Raw genomic sequence first — 20105 nt, 5'->3', positions numbered from 1 at the left:
GGCATGGAGGGTGGGAGGGCTGCCTGCACCCATCTGGATTCCAACTCTGACTGTATCACTTACTATGCAGACATAGGTAAGTTATCTAACCTCCCTGTGCCTTTGTTTCATCTGTACACTGGAAGCAATTATAGCACCTAGTTTATAAGGTTGTTCTGAAAAATCACATGAGATGATGCCTAAATGTACCTTGGACATTCCAAATTACCTATCATGTTCTTTCGTCTTAGTATTATCTGGTCTTCCTCCTCCATCCCCAGCATAACGTAAGTTACAATTAGTACATTTATCCCTACTACTTGGTCCATGGTGAATTAATTGAGAAAATAAGTACTTTTTATTCAAACTAGTTGATAATTTCAAACCGTGTGCTTTCTGAAAGCAGACATCCTTCCTTCCCAGGGCAGGGAGGAGGGGAGTGAAGGCCTTTCTCTTCACAGAGGAGTGTCACCACTCAGGGTATGGGCCCAATTATTTAGCTAAAGATGGTGTTCACTCAACCAATACATTTGTGATGTCTGTTCTGAGGCAATGAGAGAGCTTGACGCCAGGGGAGTGTTAGGGAGCAGAGATGGTCCTTGCTTCATGGAGTCATAGTCATAGGGGAAAGGGGAGAGAGGGATATGAGTGAGTGGCAGAAGTCACTAGAGAGAGATGTGCAAAGGCCCCGTGGAAGAAGAAATAAGGATGCAGCCTTAGAAGGTCTTTCTTCTTAGTTCTTCTTGCAGAGAGCAAGGGGGCATGTGGTATGAAATGAGGCTGGAGAGAGAGAGAGGCAGGGGCTAGTTATTTGGGATATTTTAGGATGTATTAAGGACTTGAATCTGTTCAGAGAAAATGAGATGTCATTGAAGGGTTTTAAGTACAGGACTGACATGATCAGATTGTGTTTTGAAAAGCTCATGTTTAAACATAGAGAGCAAACTATTGGAGGGCAAGAATGAATATGGGGAGGCCAATTTGGATGGCATTGGTATTGCTGTGGTCCACCTAGCAAGAGATGATGGAGGAAAAGACAATGGTGGGATGTGGCGAAGATGGAGAGGATGAACAGTGCTGATGGCCACTTGGGAGGTGAAATGGACAAGCTCTGACAGCACATTAGAAATGGGGAAGTCAGTGAGCAAAGGGTCTGTAGATTTGGGGTTCTCAACCCAATGGATGATGGTGCCAGTCACTGAGATAAGAAACCGTAGAGAAGAAACAGTGTTGTAGGATTGTTTTGGTTTTAGACTTGTTCAGTTTGAGGTGCTGCTTTTGAGGAATCTACACATCGGGAACAGGAGTTGTCAAGAATGAAAATTAAAAGGTGACAACTGAAGCCATTGGTTATTTGAACTACTTGATTCAACTGAAGTGTTAGTTGAAAATGGCAGAGAGACAAAATAGTGGGAGATGAGAAGTTGGCCCAGGACAATGCTATGAGCTATTTAACTGCTAGACGGCAGAAAATGAGCTTTCAAAGGACACGGACAAGAAGTGATCAAGAGGATAAGAGAAAAAACAGATACATGTGTTGCTACAGAAGTTAAGGCAAGAAGGTGTTTCAAAAAGAAGAGATGCTTAGATGTGACAAATGCTCCTCAGACAAATGCAATAAGGACTAATTTTTTAAAACATAAGACCATTAGATTTAGCAAAATGGAGAGCACTGTCGCTTTGGTGGCATATTGGGGAGAAAGCCAGACTGGAGTTGACTGAGAAGCGAGTGGGAGGGAAGGAGACAGAGAGTGAACAAACATCGCCTTCATCACATTTTCCAGAAGGTCAGCTTCTGGAAGTCTCAACCCGAACTCTCCCAGAATCCTTCCATATTTCAAGCCATGGTAAAATACCTATTTACAGGATACATTAATCTTTCCTAAACTGGTGATGAGATAGCAATTTCAGAGGCTCTTAAGTCTGTTTGTTAAAATCTTATTCATTTTGTGTCATGCTCCTTCTATTACTCCTTTGTAAAACTTTAACTCACTTCTATATTTTTATTGTGAAAAAAATGAGAATTTTGAACCACCAGATGTGGTATGACTGCAAATCATTGATAACGTACATTCTGGAGACAGAATACTTCCTGTTAGGGGAAGGCAAAGAGATATTAGCATAAGGCTGAGAGAGGTTTTAGTTAAGGTACAGATTTAAATCACCTGTTTTCTGATGCTATACCACCTCATCCCCCTCCCTGACTAGTGGCCAAAAGGAAGCAGAGCCAAGATGTAAAAGAGATATAAAATGCTTCCCTGGGTCTTAGGTTGTATCTGTTTTTAATCAATACCACCAGCAAACAGGAAGGTCTAAATTTTAGCTTTCCCATTAGCTTCACAATCTGTTCAACATATTAATCTTTCATTAACAGCACCACATCACTCTGCTTCCTTTTGTTTAAAGGTAGATATCTGACAAATGTCACTGAATAAGTTTAGGTATCCAACGTTTAACTGAAAGATGTATATGTAATAAGATTTCCTCATAAAAATATTTTTATAAGCTAATAATTTTTAGCAAAATGACCAAATAAGACAAATATTAGACAAAGAAGGTGGCCTTAAAAGTAAGATGGCTCACTTTGTGGGCTGTGGGTTTAGTATCCTCCATGAGGCATAGATTTAGTTAGGGTTTAAAAAGGTGAGGAGGGAAGGAAATGGGAGGTTGGAGTTTGTTGATAACCTTACCCTTTCACATAAATATCACTTGATTTTTGGCCTGTGAAGATATTCTCATCCTCTAAAATGACATCTTCAGTGTTCCAGATGGTCACTCTCAATTCGTATCTGGGATGGGAGAAGGAAGCATTAGGTCGATGACCTTGAAAGCTGAGTCAGTTGGTGTCTGTGTGGTTCTAGCATTGCCTTTGGTCTATAAGTTTCCTAAAGTTTGCCAAGTTCAGAAATATCAACACTTAGGGGCTTGGTTCTGTCAGAACCAAGTATCCTAGCTGGAGACCTTAGAACCATCAAGGACATGAATTCCTATGAGCAGGTCTTCCTTCTCTTAACCAGCATTTTTCAGATGAGGAAGTGGAAACTCAGAAGCCCCTCCCTTAAGACAGGGGCCACCACCAGCTCCTGAAAAACTGGCCGGGTGGATAGTGAGGTATGATGATCAGGTAACCTGTCAGACACCAGATAAAATGTCATGATTCTTTCATCTGCTACCCTGGTCTCTTCCCCTGAAGCTGGGGCTACAGCTGACATACCCTTTGGGTCGCCTTGGAGAGATGTCAACAGGAGGTCCAGGTTGAGGCATATCCTTGGGAAACATGTCCACCCACATCTGCAGGCGGCCCTTGTTAAGAAAAAAAATATCTTCTTTAGCTTTGGGAGGGGGCTAGGGGACATGGGTAATTGATAATTCATGGTTTTATAAGATCCCTTTAGTAGAAATAGGTGTTAAGTGTAGCTTGGTAGTTTTATAGATGTATATTTAGCGTATCTGTTGACAAAAAAAGTATGTATGTATGTATATATATATATATATATATATCTTTAGGAATTAGAGCATAAATTAAGAGTAGGTGAAGGGTGAGCAAACCTTTATTGAGCATCAACTAGGGGGTAGACATAATGCTATCTATACACTTGACACACATTATCTTATGAACTCTTGCAACATCTCCACCAGGTAGATGTTACTATTTCTGTTTGACAGAGGAAAAAACATTTTGCCCATGCTTAATAGACAATATGTAGCAGAGTCCGGATTCAACCCTTGTGTTGACCCCAGAGACCTTGCTCTTTCTGCAAACTCCTAAGGATTAAAAAGATAATCCCAACTGTCACAAGTATGCTTCAATGTACCTTTACCTTCATTATCTCTGTTAATGTTCACCCCAGCCAGGATTCTGTTCTATACATAAAGAAACTAAGCTCAGATAAGTCAACAAAGTGTATCTGAAGTTCTGTGGCTAACAGTGGCAGAACAGAGCCTCCCATTCATTGCCTTGAACTCCATACATCAGATTTTACCGTGGTACAAGAGATTTAAGAGCCCATGTGAGGAGAAGCCCTGTGGATTCCATGCTAAGCTCTGTTGTATACATTCTAAGAATGCTGTCAGCTTAGGCAAGAAAGGAGTAAGGGATATGGGTTGGGATGATGGGGCAGGGGTGGATTTTATAAGAATGAGGTGGGACTCCACTAGAGCATGAAGAAGATGCAGGATTTGGATGAGGAAGGGCCTTTGGCTAGAAAATAATGGCTCTTCAGAGGAAGAGAAAATGTAAGCAAAGGTTTAGCATTTGGGAAGAAAATCAATTGAATAGAGAAAAGCAGGATGATTTATTTTCTAAAGACACATTAATATTCATCCTTAATCAAAAAGCCACATCTGACCAGCCAAGTGAAGGATCCTAGTAACCAGATGATTTCAAACACCTGGCAGTGAATTTCAGGAAACAATCATAAGCTTCTACATCTGATAATGGTTTACCCTCTCAACGCGGTCGTCCACACGTGCAATCACTAGGTCTATATCCCAATAACTCTGGGATAGCAGGGTAAGTGTTTCTGACCCATTATAATCAAACTCACATGATTTTCCCCTCACACAGTGAGTGAGTCCAGAGCTGGGACAGAAGCTGGCTCGGGGTGTGAACCTGGCATGGGCCAGGGATGCAAATTGCCTGGGCTAAATTCCATCTCTACTACTACTCATCTCTATTACTCCCCAGCTGAGTAATTCAGAGCAAATTAATTGAGCTCTCTGAACTTCAATTTCCTCATTGTAAAAGTGAGGATCATAATAAGCCCATCATGAGGCTGCATTAAGGAATAAGAGGAAGGTGTCACTCCGTTGTTTAGGAAAATCATGGTGTGTGTTCCTTGTACCAGCTTGATTATTAACAGTGCCCGCGTTCACTCCCAAATGGCCCCAGTTTGGATAAACAATTCTATGGTCATCCTAAATAGTTGAGATAATTTACGTAAAGGTCCTAGTACACGGAAGGCTCTTCACAAAGTTTATCTTGTCTTCCCTTCTGACTCCTAGCCCAGCTCTCTAGGTATTTTTTCCACACAGCTTCTTCTTGCCAGTTCTTTAAGGTAACCTACCACCTATTGCTTCTCTGGGAAAATTGTGTGTTTGTGTGTGTTATTACTAGGCTGTGTGGTTACAGATAGATTTTGGACAAAGTCCTGGGCATACCCAATGGGTTAAGTTTTTCAAATGTCCAATATTCTTCCAAAAGACTTTGGTAACTCAAATCATAAAAAGCAGTACTAAGTTGAACACTGACTCCAGGGCAGGGCTTCTCAAATTCAGCATTATTGACATTTTAGGCTGGATAATTCCCTGTTGGAGGGAAGCTGTCTTGTGTTTTCTAGGATGTTTAATTTAGCAGCATCCTTGGCCTCTACCCACTATATGCCAGTAGCAACCCCACCTACTTGTGACAACACAAAATGATTCCAGACATTGCTAAATGTACCTGAGGGAAGGTCAAAATTGTTCCTGGATGAAAACCATTACTCTACAGTACACAAGATTAACTTTTAGGGCCAGAATAGTCTTGCCCACTACCTGCTCCATTCCTGGCTTATCCTTGTGGTACAGTGGCCGAGTTTCTATGTGTTCAGGAACCAGCCTACACCCGACTTCCGGGATATCCTCCCAAGAGTGTAAAACCTTGAGGGCCAGGTGTTCATAAGACTCCACTGTCTCATCTGCAGGAAAGAAAGACAAACTTGTCAGATGTGTGTTCCTGCAAGGAGACAGTGATGGGCTGCCACATGCATTTTTAAACACTTACAGGCTTATTTAAATGTACCAAGGGGCTGGGTGCAGTGGTTCACACCTGTAATCCCAGCACTTTGGGAGGCCAAGGTGGGTAGATCACTTGAGGTCAGGAGTTCAAGATGAGCCTGGCCAAAATGGTGAAACCCTTTCTCTACTAAAAATACAAAAAATTAGCCAGGTGTGGTGGCGGGTGCCTGTAATCCCAGCTACTCAGGAGGCTGAGGCAGGAGAATCGCTTGAACCTGGGAGGCAGAGGTTGCAGTGAGCTGAGATCGCGCCACTGCACTCCAGCCTGGGTGACAGAGCAGGGACTCTGTCTCAAAATAAATAAATAAATAAATTTCCTAAGGAACAGGGAAAGAAAAACCGAAAAAGAAAAAAGTAAGGATGGAAAGAGGTGGAGAGATAGAAGGGAAGGGGAAAGAGATGGAAAGTTTAGAGAGAGGGAAATAAGACTAGTTCACAAGAGGACCCAGAGAGCAGTCTTGGTCCTGGAGTAGGGGCTCCACCCACCTCCTAAAGATCTACAGATCATAAACATGGCTTCAAGGTACTGGAGAGGGTACATTTTTGAAGGTGCAAAACTGTTTGCTAACATACTGTGAGAGGACCTGGAAAATCAGGGTGGCCCTAAGTGAGGTGGTGAGATGGGCACAATGTCCATCCATAGGGACGTCTTTTGTCTTCTCACGGTTGCTTTAGATTTCTCTCCTACCAACACCCACCCACAGGAAATGTGCTCTCATCTGCCATTCTATCAAATAAGGTTATTCATGATAAAAACTACAGGTGGAAATGATACGCGCAAAACAAGACAAAAATTGTTGAATAAAACATTGACAAAGTTTAGAATGGCCTAATTTGATATAGGAAAATTGAACTTGTCTTTAAAAAAAAGGGGCCACAGTGCCCCATTTTACAGGGTGTGATCGTGATTATACATTGCATGCCTGTATAAAAATGTTTTATTTATCCCATAAATATAAATACCTATTATGTACCCACAAAAATTAAAATAATAAAAATAATTAAAGTAATAAAAATAAAGGGGCCACAAAAAAATCTCCCAATAGCAATAATTACAATCAGTAAAAGTTGATAGAGACAAACAAGAAATCAATGAATAAATCTTTGTTAATCTTATGAACATGATTTCAGACTTCTAGTGGGCAAAAAAGTGGTAATTGTTTAATCATGTAGAATATTGACCAAAGAACTAAGTTGGCTTAATAGAGTATATTGTGAATAAATATTTTTCTCAATATATCATTAATGTCCTATCTAAATATCAATAATCTGCATGTAAGAACCTTCAATGGGTTTCTGGGCTTGAAATAACAAGGTAAAGGAAATCTTGGTATCAAAGTGGTAGGGGTCAACATAGTGTCAAACCATCCTATGTATGGTTCAGTACTTTTGATGCAGTGACCTCATGCCCTTGGCTCATTGCATCAAAAGTACTGAACCATACATAGGACACTTTAAAGCATCAAAGGCATGAGCAAGTGATATGGTTTGGGTCTGTGTCCCTGCCTAAATCTCATGTCGAACTGTAATCCCCAGTGTTGGAGGTAGGGACTGGTGGGAAGGTGACTGGATCATGGGGGCAGTTTCTCACAGATGGTTTAGCACAATCCCCCTAGTGCTGTTCTCGTGATAGACTTCTCACAAGATCTGATTGTTTAAAAATGTGTAGCACTGCCAGGCGTGGTGGCTCACACCTGTAATCCCAGCACTTTGGAAGGCCAAGGCGGGCAGATCACCTGAGGTCAGGAGTTCAAGACCAGCCTGGCCAACATGGTGAAACCCCGACTCTACTAAAAATACAAAAATTAGTCAGGTATGGTGGCGCATGCCTGTAATCCCAGCTACCCGGGAGGTGGAGGTTGCAGTGAGCCTAGATCATGCCACTGCACTCCAGCCTGGGTGACAGAATGAGACTCCATCTCAAAAAAAAAAAAAAAAAAAAAGGGTAGCACTTCCCCGCTTTCTCTCTTCGTCCTGCTCTGGCCATGTGAGTGCCATGCTGGCTCCCTGTTTGCCTTCCACCATGACTGCAAGTTTCCTGAGGCCTCCCCAGAAGCCAAGCGGATGCTACCATGCTTCCTATAGAGCCTGCAGAACTGTGAGCCAATTAAACACCTTTTCTTTATAAATTACACAGTCTCAGGCATTTCTTCACAGCAATGCAAGAACAGACCAACACAGTGTGACAGTATGAGAATTCTTCTGTATAATTAAATTAAATGTGATTTTTTTTCCCCTCACCCTAAATGTATGGAAGCCTCTCTGGGATCTTTGTGTTATGTCCCAGGATGTTCATGTGGAAAATCTACGACTTGGTGTTAAAATAGGATAGTTATTGGTATAACATTTATGGGGGTAATTTGGGTTATGTTCAATTATTTATGCTATATAATATTCACTTCAAGAATATTGCCCACCTTCTGATGCAACAATTCTACTTCTGTGACCTGTACTATAGAAATATCAGAAACACACAAAAATATGTATAAGGAAGTTCATTATAGCATTGTCACTACAAAAAAAAGAATACAATGTGAGTAAATGGCATAACCGTAAAAAGGCATATCATCACTGATCATTTCAAAGAACAAAGGAGAATCATTATAATCTATTGGAAATTTTAAAAGCTGGGCACAAAACTCTGTGTTTATTTATAATTCTGTAAAAATGTGATATATTTTCAAGTCACAGACAAGTGCAAGAAAATATGCCAGCAAGCAGCATGGTTGTATCTGAACTTGGGGATTATAAGTGATATTCATTATTCTCCTTACTTTTCCACATTTTCTACTATAAGCATGCATTACTTTTTTTTTTTTTTTTTTTTTAAGACTTGAGTCCCACTCTGTTGTTCAGGCTGGAGTGCAGTGGCACAATCTCTGGTCACTGCAACCTCCACCTCTTGAGCTCAAGTGATTCTCGTGCCTCAGCCTCCCCAGTAGCTGGGATTACAGGCATCTGCCACCACGCATGGCTACTTTTTGTATTTTTAGTAGAGATGGGGTTTCACCATGTTGGCCAGGCTGCTCTTGAACTCCTGACCTCAAGTGATCCGCCCGCCTCAGCCTCCCATAGTGCTGGGATTACAGACGTGAGCCACTGTGCCTGGCCACATTACTTTTATAATTAGATGTCCCATAGCCAAAAATATCACTAGAATCAGGATTTTCAAAAGAAGAGCAACACCAGCAGGATATTTTGCAGGGAGTTACCAGTGTCCTCTTCAGTGAAGATAGTTTTTCCAGAAAAGACTTGGTTTCCTATCTGTATTTTCCCAGGGTGAAAGTAGGGTCCATCCAGCTTGTTGTCTTTGCAGAGCTTAGTGAGGATTTCGGTGGGTTTGGACGTGTCTCTCCAGGCATTGTATCCTTCTCTGAAAAGTGGAGGGAGAACACACTTTGAGGTCCTCACTTAAAGAACCACCCAGTATGATCTGTGCAGTTTCTTTCAGATTTAACTTGCTATTCTGTGTATCTGGGGTTAGGGGGTTTGTTTTCTCTCTTTTCTGGCCAAACACAGCTTGCCTGAAAGGCAAGACTTCTGAGTAGCTTAACAGAAAAATCCTTTGAAGGTAGTTTTGTTTTTGTTTAAGTAATGTACTTTTCATTTTTTTTAAATTGAAGTGAAATTCACATAACAAAATTGACCATTTAAAAGTTGACCAATTTAGTAGCATTTAGGATATTCACAATGAGGTATAACCATCACCTTTATCTAGTTCCAAAAAGTTTCATCATCCCAAAAGAAAACCCTGTACCCAGAAAGCAGTTACTCCTCTTTCCCACCCCTCAGAGGCTTTGGCAATCACCAATCTCCTTTCTGTCTCTATGCATTTCTTTGCAGGTTATATTTGTTTAGTTTTATTAAGTCCCTAGGAGAACAGCCACTCGGCTGCTGCTTATTCCAAGTTTCAAGGTCTCTGCTTCGTCCCTCCCTTCTCCCTACCCCACCACCCCACCAAAATCATAGTATATATCCATGTCACAGATAGAGTCTTGATGTGTTGTTTCTCTAATCAGTGATAAGTTTTTAAATCTCCCCAACCTATTCTTTCCTTAAAAACTAGCTGTTTGGTTAAAATTATTAACTTGCAATGCAGCACTCCCTACAAGCCAGGACCAAGATAAGCTTGATGTCTCTGCTCATTGGGACACTGAGTTCATCAGAATTTAAACAAATCAACATGGCTTATAAAATGGAGCTATCAAGTAGTTTTCCCACATTATGCCAAAGAATCCTGAAAAGGTCATCCAAGCCAGTTCCAGAGCCACACACAGGCCTTCCCAGAAATAGGCATGCTTGTCTTGTTTTAAAAACTTTTCAGTGAATAAAGATTGCAAGTCCCCAGACAACTATACTGCTACCTGGCAGGTCAGCCAGGAAATTCTTCTGAACAAAAGATGCACCATTTGCCTGTGGCTTCCTTCCCCAATTTCAGAGTGAGAACAGCTAATCACTGTCTGAATGGAATTCTCTCAGGCACTTGGAAAGCTATGTAAATCCCCCAAGAGGCATATGGTTCCACTAGGGACTGAAAACTAAACAGGCTCTCTAGGCTTAGGGAAGAATAGACCAGAAAGAGAGACTGTATGAAATCATTCCATGAAGGATATAGGCGCTCAGAGTCTGTTACGGTGTAAATTGGCACAACCCTCTGGAGGGCCATTGTGACATATGTATTAAAAGTCCCAAAATGTGCATTCCTGTTAATGGAGCAGTCTACCTTGATGCATAAATGTTAAGTCAATTATCAGAGAGGTGTGCAGTGGCTTTTGTATGAGAATATTCATAGCAACAATATTTATAACAGAATAAAGAAAAATACAAATGCCCTAAAATTCAGGAAGGCAAATTGGTTTTACCATCTTATAATGCCTATGATTGAATTCTACAGATATATTGAAATAATGATTATAAAGAATATCTAATGACATAAAATGCTTGAGATATAAGGATAAGTACAACAAGCAGGTTACAAAACTGCGTGGATAGTAGAGTCTGGTTAGGGAGAAAATAGCATGGAACATATTGAAAATGAAATACTACACAAGAACTTTTACATGAGTGGAATAATTTGAGAGTTATTTTGTACTTTGTGTTTTCTAATTTCAATGAGTGTGTCATATTTAATAAAAATATTTTTAAAATTATGCCATACTCTTAAAGCTATCAGATACAGCATGCTTTAAAAAAATAAAGCTGGTAGTCTATATTTTAAAATTAAGCAGCATTCAAAATATTTGTAAAAAGTGGGAGTTTGGGGGAGGGAGACAGAGGAACACCAAATTGAAATTATACACACAAGATCAGGTGAGCAATCACAGTACCTGGTTTTAACATGATATTAAGTAAAGAGGCACTAAAGAGGGTAAGAAAGACAGTCTTGAATTGCCTATGCCACTCCTCCCCCATTCCCTGGCAGTGGCCCTGTAGCATGGAGAGAGGATCTGTGCACTTAGGGAAGGAAGAACACAATAATTGTGGGACTTCGGATTGGAACTCAGTGCTACCCTGTCACAGCAGAAAGAAACACCAGACACAACTCAGAACTCAGCTGGTGCCCATGCAAGGAGCATTTAGACCAGCCCTAGCTACAGGCAAATTGTCCATCCCAGCTGTTGGAACCTGAGTTGAGTTTCAGCAAGCTCCGCCACCGCAGGCTAAAGCACTCTGGGGTCCTAAATAAACATGAAAGACAGTCTTGGCCACAGGGACTGAAATTCCTGTGCAAATCCTACTGCTATGCTGAGCTCGGAGCCAGTGGACTTGGGGTGCACATGACATAGTGAAATACCAGCTGGGGCAGCCATGGGAGTGCTCGCACCACCTCTCCCCTAATCCCAGGCAGCACAGTTCAGAGGCCCAGGACAGACTCCTTCCTTCTGCTTGAGGAGAGGAAGAGCAAAGAGGATTTTGTCTTGCACCTTGAATACCAGCTCAGCTACAGTAAATACAGCACAAGGCAGAGTCTTGAGGCCTCCATTCCAAGCCCCAGCTCCCAGACATTTCTAGACATAACCTGGGCCAGAAGGGAACGTGATGCCTTGAGGGGAAGAACCCAGACATAGCAGGATTTATTTCCTACTGACTAAAGAGCCCTTGGGTTTTGAATAATCAGCAGTGAGAGCCAGGTAGTACTTGCCATGGGCCTTGGGTTAAACTCAGAGCAGTGCTGGCTTCAGGTGTGACCCAGCACATTTTCAGCTATGGTAGTGATAGGAAGAGATTGCTTCTGCTTGACGAAAGGACAGGGAAGAGCAAAGGGGACTTTGTCTTGCAGCTTGGGCACCAGCCCAGCCATCGTGGAGTAGAGAACCAAGTGGGTTCCTGGGGACCCTGATTCTAGACCTTGGCCCCAGATGGCATTTTTGGACCTGCCCTAAGCCAGAGGGCAGCCCACTGCCCTGAAAGGAGAGACACAAGCCAGGCAGCATTTGCCACAGTGAACACTGGCAGTAGCCAGGCAGTACTCACCATGGGACTGGGGCAGTGGTGGCCATGGGGAGAGACCCCTCTGCTTGAGGAAAGGGGAAGGACTTTATCTTGTGGTTTGGGTGCCAGTTCAGCCACAGTAGAATAGAGCAGCAGGTAGATTCCTAAGGTTCCTAACTCCAGCCCTTGGCTCCCAGATGGCATCTCCAGACCCATCTGGAGCTAGAGGCCTGGGGGGAAGGACAGAAGTCTGGCTGGATTTGCCACCCATTGACTGAAGAGCCCCTGGGCTTTGAGTGAACACAGGTGGTAGCCAGGCAGCGGTCACTGCAGGCCTTGGGCAAGACCTAGTGCTGTGTTTGTGGCCACATGGCTGTGTGTGTCACCCCTCCCCCAGCTCCAGGAAGCTGAGCACAGAAAGATAAACCCCATTTGTTTGGGGAAAAGAAAGGAGAAAAAGAGTCTCTGCCTGTAATCCAGGGAATTCTCCTGGATCTTACCCAAGACCACCCAGGCAATATCTCTACAAGTCTGCAGGAGCCACAGTATTACTGTGCTTAGTGTCCCCTAATGCAGATATGGCTGCAGTGACCAAATATTTAGATTATAATACCCAAGTCCCTTCAAATATTTGGAAAGCCTTCCCAAAAAGGATGGGTACAAACAAGCGCAGACTGCAAAGACTACAATAAATACCTAACTCTTCAATGCCCAGACACTGATGAACATCCACAAGCATCAGGGCCATCCGGGAAAACATTATCTCACCAAAAGAACTAAATAAGGCACCAGTGACCAATCCAGGAGAGACAGAGAGATGTTTCCTTTCATACAGAGAATTCAAAATAGTTGCATTAAGGAAGCTCAACAAAATTCAAGATAACACAAAGAAGGAATTCAGAATCCTATCCGATAAATTTAACAAAGAGAGTAAAATGATTAAAAGGAATCAAATTCTAGAACTGAAAAATGCAACAGACATACTGAAGAATGCACCAGTCTCTTAACAGCAGAATTAATCAAGCAGAAGAATTAGTGAGCTTGAAGATAGACTATTTGAAAATACACAGTCAGAGGAAACAAACAAAGAATTGAAAAGAATGAAGCATGCCTACAAGATCTAGAAAACAGCCTCCAAGAGGCAAATCTAAGAGTTACTGGCCTTAAAGAGGAGGTAGAGAGAGAGAGAGAGATCAGAGTAGAAAGTTTATTCAAAGAGATAATAAGAAACCAAGAGAAAGATATCAATATTCAAGTACAAGAAGGTTATAGAACACCAAGCAGATTTAATCCAAATAAGACTACCTCAAGACATTTAATAATCAAACTCCCAAAGGTCAAGGATAACTTAGGGATCCCAAAAGCAGCGAGAGAAAAGAAATAACATACAAAGGAGTTCCAATATGTCTGGCAGCAGACTTCTCAGTGGAAACCTTATAGGCCAGGAGAGAGTAGCATGACACATTTAAAGTACTGAAGGAAAAAAAACTTTTAGCTTAGAATAGCATATCTAGGAAAAGTATTCTTTAAATATGAAGGAGAAATAAAGACTTTCCCAGACAAACTCTGAGGGATTTCATCAACACCAGACCTGTCCTATAAGAAATGCTAAAAGAAGTTTTTTAATCTGAGAGAAAAAGGATGTTAATGATCAATAAGAAATTATATGAAGGTGGGAAGCTCACTGGTAACAGTAAGTACACAGAAAAACACAATGTTATAACACTAAGTGTGGTATATTAGTTATTCATATCTTAAGTGGAAAGATGAACATATGAACCAACCAAAAATAACTACAACAACTTTTAAAGACATAGTATAATAAGATATAAGTAGAAACAACAGAAAGTTAAAAAGCAGGGAGATGAAGTGAAAATATAGAGTTTTCATCAGTTTTATTTTTGCTTTTTTTTTTTGTTTGTTTATGCAGTTAGTGTTATCAGCTTAAAATCATGGGCTATATTATTTTCAAGCCTCATGGTAACTTCAAATAAAAACACATACAACAGATACACAAAAAATAAAAAAGCAAGAAATTAAAACATACCACCAGAGAAAATCACCTTCACTAAAAGGAAGACAAGAAGGAAGAGTAGACAGCAAAAACAATCAAAAAACAAATTTTAAAATGGAAGAATTCCTTACTTAACAATAACATTGAATATAAACGGACTAACCTCTCCAATCAAAAGACACAGTGGCTGAATGGATAAAAACACAAGACCCAATACTCCGTTGCCTACAAAAAAACATACTTTACCTATAAAGATACACATAGACTAAAAATAAAGGATTAAAAAAGATCTAACATGCAAATGGAATATAAAAAAGGAGTAGGTATACTGATTATAAAACAACATAGATTTCAAGACAAGAACTATAAAAGGAGGCAAAGAAGGTCATTATATAATGATAAAGGGGTCAATTCAGCAACAGGATATAACAGTTGCATACACACACACCCAACCGTGGAGCACCCAGATATAAAGCAAAGAGCTAAAGAGAGAGATACACCCCAATACAATAATAGCTGGAGATTTCAACACCCAATTTTCAGCACTGGGCAGGTCATCCAGACAGGACACCAACCAAGAAACACTGGACATAATCGACCCTATAGACCAAATGGACCTGATAGATGTTTACAGAACATTTCATCCAACAGCTGCAGAATACACATTCTTCTCCTTAGCACATGGAACATTCTCAAAGACAGACCACACGTTAGGCCACAAAACAAGTCTTTAAAATTTTTTTTAAATTGAAATTATATTAAGTATCTTCTCTGGCCACAATGGAATAAAACTCAAAATCGATAACAAGAGAATTTTGGAAACTATACAAACACATGGAAATTAAACAATATGCTCCTGAATGGCCAGTGGGACAATGAAGAAATTAAGAAAGAAATTTAGAAATTTCTTGAAACAAATGAAAATGGAAACATACCAACAACACTTATGGGACACAATGAAAGTAGTACTAAGAAGAAAGTTTATAGCAATAAGCACCCACATCAAAAAAGTAGAAAAACTTCAAATAAATAATGTAACAATATATCTTAATGAATTAGAAAATCAAGAGTGAACCAAACCCAAAATTAGTAGAAAAAGAGATAAGATTAACAAAATGAAAAGTTGGTTTTTCAAAAAGATAAACAAAATTGGCAACTCTTTAGCTAGGCTAAGAAAAATGGGAGACCTCCTAAATAAATAAAATTACAGACAATAAAGAAGACATTACAACCAATACTGCAGAAATTCAAATGATTATTAGAGGCTACTAATGATATGTTAGAAATAAATTGGAAAATTTGGAAATTAGCAAATAAATTGGAAAACCTAGAAGAAATGAGTGAATTCCTAGAAACATACAACCTACCAAGATTGAACCATGGAGAAGTTCAAAACCTGAATAGATCAATAACAAGTAATGAAATTGAAGCTGTAATAAAAAGTCTCCTAGCAAAGAAAAGCCCAGGATCCAAAGCTTCACTGCTGATTTTTACCAAACATTTAAAGAAGAACTAATACCAATCTGAAAAACAAAGAAAAAGGATATACTTCCAAAGTCATTTTACAAGGCCAGTATTACCCTGAAAGCAAAACCAAAGACACATCACAAAATGAAAACTATAGGCAAATATCCCTGATGAACACTGATGCAAAAGTGTTCAAGAAAAATTTTCAACAAAATACTAGCAAACCAAATTCAACATCATGTTAAAATGATCATTCATCATGATCAGGTGGAATTTATTCCAGGGATGTAATGATCATTTGACATACACAATCAATCAGTGTGATACATCATTATCAACAGAATGAAGGACACAAACCATATGATCATTTCAATTGACACTTAAAAAGCATTTGATGAAATTCAATATTCCTTCATAATTTAAGAAACCCTCAAAAAACTTGAGTATAGAAGGGACATAGCTCAACACAATAAAAAACATACACAACAGACCCACAGCTAGGATCATACTGAATGGGGAAAACGGAAAGCCTTTCCTCTAAGATCTGAAACAAAACAAGGATGCCCACTTTCACCACTGTTATTCAACATAGAACTGGAAATCCTAGCTAGAGCAATCAGATAAGACAAAGAAATAAAGGGCATCCAAATTGGAAAGAAAGAAGTTACCCTTGTGGGTAGATAATATGATCTTATATTTAAAAAAAAAAAAACTAAAGATTCCACAAGAAAACCGTTAGAACTGATAAATTCAGTAAAGTTGCAGGATACAAAATCAAGGTACAAAAATCAGTAGCATTTCTGTATGCCAACAGTGAACAATGTGAAAAAGAAATAAAGAAAGCAATCCCATTTACAATAGCTACAAATAAAATACCTAGGAATAAACTTCAAGAGAGAAAAGATCTCTACAATGAAAACTATAAAACATTGGTGCAAGAAATTGAAGAGGATACAAAAAACCACAGACATATTCCATGTTCATGGATTGGAAGAATCAGTACTGTTAAAATGTCCATAGTACCCAAAGCAACCTACAGATTCAGTGAAATCTCTATCAAAATACCAATGACATTCTTCATAGAAATAGAAAAAACAATCTTACATTTACGTGGGACCACAAAAGACACAGAATAGCCAAAGCTATATTCTAAGTGAAAAGAACAGAACTGGAGGAATCACATTACCTGACTTCAAATTATGCTACAGAGCTATAGTAACCAGAAGAGCATGGTATTGGCACAACAACAGACACATAAATCTTTTTTTTTTCTTGTCTTTTTATAGTTCTTTTCTTGAAATCTATGTTTGGAACAGAATAGAGAACCCAGAAATAAATCTATTCATCCACAGTGAACTCATTTTCAACAAAGATGCCAAAAAGATATATCAGAGAAAGGACAGTCTCTTCAATAAATGGTGCTGGGAAAACTGGATATCCATATGCAGAAGAATGAAAGTAGATCCCTGTGTCTCATCATATGCAAAAATAAAATCAACATGAATTAAAGACATTAGGTTAAGAAAAATAAACCAGGCACAGAAAGACAAACTTTGCATGTTCTCACTTAAACACTTGAACTCATGGAGATAGAGAGTGGATGATGGTTAATGAGTACAAAAATATAGTTAGATAGAATAAGATACAGTATCTGATAGCACAACAGGGCAACTATAATCAATAATTTATTGTCTATTTTAAAATAACTAAGAGAGTATAATTTGATGTTTATAATATAAAGAAAGGATAAATATTTGAGGTGATAGATATCCCATTTACCCTGATGTGATTGTTATGCATTATATTCCTGTATCAAAATATGTCATATACCCCATATATATGTATACATGTCATATACCCCATATGTGTGTGTATATAATATATACACACACACATACACATTTATGTACCCATGAAAATTAAAGATACATTTGAAAAAAGAGTGAAAGTTGGGTCAGTTCTTCCTTCATTTGTAAAATGCGGATAACGCCTCAAAGGGTGGTTCACAAAACTCAATGAGATACTCCATGTAAAGTGCTTTGTTATCGAAAGTACATGAGTGTTATAATTAGCTTGGACGCTGGCATTTGTATTATATTAATTATTCTTCTAGCATTATTCTTCACCAGGGAAACTCTATTTCAAGGCACATCTGACTGAGTGAACACATACATTTAGCTCTTGACTCTTGAAGAACCTGCCCTTGGTTCTCAATCAGAGCTGCCTCCCCAGTCACGATGACTCTCAAATGCACTGAACAGAGTTTCCCCAAGCCAGCTCTGCTGATGTGGAGCCCATTTGAGACGTTAAAGCTGAGCCTGGTCTGGCCTTCCTAGAGATGGACAACTGGGATGCAGAGTCTGGAGCCCTAAAGGCTACAACAGCTTCAGAATACCAAGTGTCTCCCGGGGAGAAAGAACTTACATCTCATACTGGCTCTGCAAGCCACAGATGGCTCGGTGTTTGCTGTAGAAGCGGTTCTCCAGGTCGATCTTGGTCTCACCAATAAGGTCATCTGTGCCAATCATGTCATGGTCATAGATCAGGATGGAGAGCAGGGACTCTTTTGGGAATGTGGCTTGGATCTCAAATGACCTGCGGTCCAAGCAGAGACTTCAAGAGTCAGTTAACATTTGGTGACACAGGGAACCATTCCCAGCTTCACTTTTAGCTAGCCCGCTATTCATGTGAACTCATTAAACACTCAGCAACTCAGTTAATACTTAGCAGATATTTGTTTGGTTTAATTTTTCATTGCAGTACAAACAATTTTCAACTCTGTTATCAATTTCAAATAGCCAATAATCTCCCCTTTTCATGGGCCACATCTTGTAGTCTTCAACTAGGGTGACAGCACGATGGAGAGGAAAAACTTTGGATTTTGGTTTCAGACAGGACTGATTTTTAATTTTGGTTTTGAATCTGCAATTTCCTGATTGTAAAACTTTGGGAAAGTTATTTAATTCCTCTTAGCCTCCATATTATAAATGAGTATATATGTCTTCTTTATAATTTAGCATGGGGTTTAAATGCAATATTGTTTCTATAAAACACGTATTTTACTTTCAGGCGTTCAACTGGTGCCCAATACATTGCCATTCCCCTTCCCCTCCATTGTTGCTTTATCAACAAGTACCAGCTACATTTATTTTAAATGAAAACCTTATCAAGGATGAAAAATTATAAAAACATAGAATTGCAAGACCAAAGCGTTGTCTCTACAAGACTATGAGCCCCTTGAGAATAGGGACCTGCCCTTTTTTTTTTTTTTTTTTTTGGTCTCTGCATTGCTGGAGCCTGCACTTGACCTGCAGAAAGTACACACAAAATAAATGTTTCCGTGAACTGTAAGAGATCTCAGAAATCACCATATCCAATCCCTTCATTTTATAGATAAATTGAAATCTAGAGAACACTAGCAACTTGCCCAAGATCATCAATCAGGCCAATCTGAGATAAGTGCCAGGTTCCTAATTCCTAGCTCGGTGCTCCTTCCATGAAACCACACCAACGCAAGGTGTCTCAAGGAACATTAATGCTGTCTGATTTTCTGTGATGATAAATTACCCAATGCTACTGCATTGGGACTGGTACTTGAAAATTAACTGCGTTATAGGGAAATGCCTTCCTGAAAACAAAATCAAGGACACAGCAGTATTCTCCAGCTGTGTAGACTGTCTGCTCTGGTACAGGATGAACTGGGCTGGGAGCGATAGACAAAGAGGAGGGGGAGGAAGGAGAATGCGAGCCCATTATTTCCCTGCATGTCCACAGGGCTGTCTGGGCTGCTGCCCTCATGGTCAGATCCACTTAACCCTGACACTTACTCCCCAGTGAAGCAGGCACAGCAACTGCAGCATGCCCAAGCCAATTAACCCTCCTCAGAGAGAGAAAAGCAGAGACGCTGGACAGCTCCAGTGACTGTAACTGACAGAAGTGGCTGTAGCAGGCCAGGGATATGGTTGTGTGGGAAAGAAATCCATATGTCTTCCATCTGAAGGCATAGTATTTCCTGCCTGAGCTCCAAGATTTACATTCTAAACTGTAATTGATACTCTGCAGGTGCATCACAAGGAAGCCTCCAGCCATGTGCCCCTGAGCCATCACCATTACTGTCACTGAAAGGACTTATTAAGGGCTTAACTGCTGCTGGCAACCATGACAGAAGACTTAATCACCCTGGCCCATCTCCCCAAGCTGTGGGTCCGTATATTAATGTCACCTAAATTTTAAATGGAGCTGTCAATAAAAGTTACCAAAAACAGGGCCGGGAGCGGTGGCTCACGACTATAATCCCAGCACTTTGGGAGGCCGAGGCAGGTGGATCACTCGAGGCCAGGAGTTCGAGACAAGCCTGGCCAACATGGTGAAACCCTGTCTCTACTAAAAATACAAAAATTAGCCCGGCGTGGTGGCAGGCGTCTGTAGTCCCAGC

The 20105-nt window shown here is 40.1% G+C and overlaps 1 protein-coding gene and 1 long non-coding RNA gene across 9 annotated transcripts in view; one reads left to right on the top strand and one right to left on the bottom strand.

Annotated features, from left to right (window-relative positions):
- The window catches only part of FER1L6 (fer-1 like family member 6), a 268075-nt gene that overhangs the window by 19509 nt on the left and 228461 nt on the right, over positions 1-20105 (bottom strand). For all 8 annotated transcript variants that reach the window (NM_001039112.2, XM_011517231.3, XM_006716618.4 and 5 more), the window contains 5 exons: positions 18095-18265; positions 8970-9130; positions 5515-5657; positions 3194-3282; positions 2670-2768 (listed from right to left, as the gene is read on the bottom strand). In NM_001039112.2, coding sequence (NP_001034201.2) covers positions 2670-2768; positions 3194-3282; positions 5515-5657; positions 8970-9130; positions 18095-18265 — 663 coding nt within the window. The remainder of the gene's footprint in view (positions 1-2669; positions 2769-3193; positions 3283-5514; positions 5658-8969; positions 9131-18094; positions 18266-20105) is intronic.
- FER1L6-AS2 (FER1L6 antisense RNA 2) overlaps positions 1-20105 on the top strand; it is a 125452-nt gene that overhangs the window by 70970 nt on the left and 34377 nt on the right. The gene's annotated exons all lie outside the window — the stretch shown is intronic.

Source organism: Homo sapiens, chromosome 8 (genome assembly GCF_000001405.40).
Source record: "Homo sapiens chromosome 8, GRCh38.p14 Primary Assembly".
NCBI lineage: Eukaryota > Metazoa > Chordata > Mammalia > Primates > Hominidae > Homo > Homo sapiens.
The sequence above is the reverse complement of the archived record's forward strand: the minus strand, read 5'-3'. Positions and strand labels throughout refer to the sequence as shown.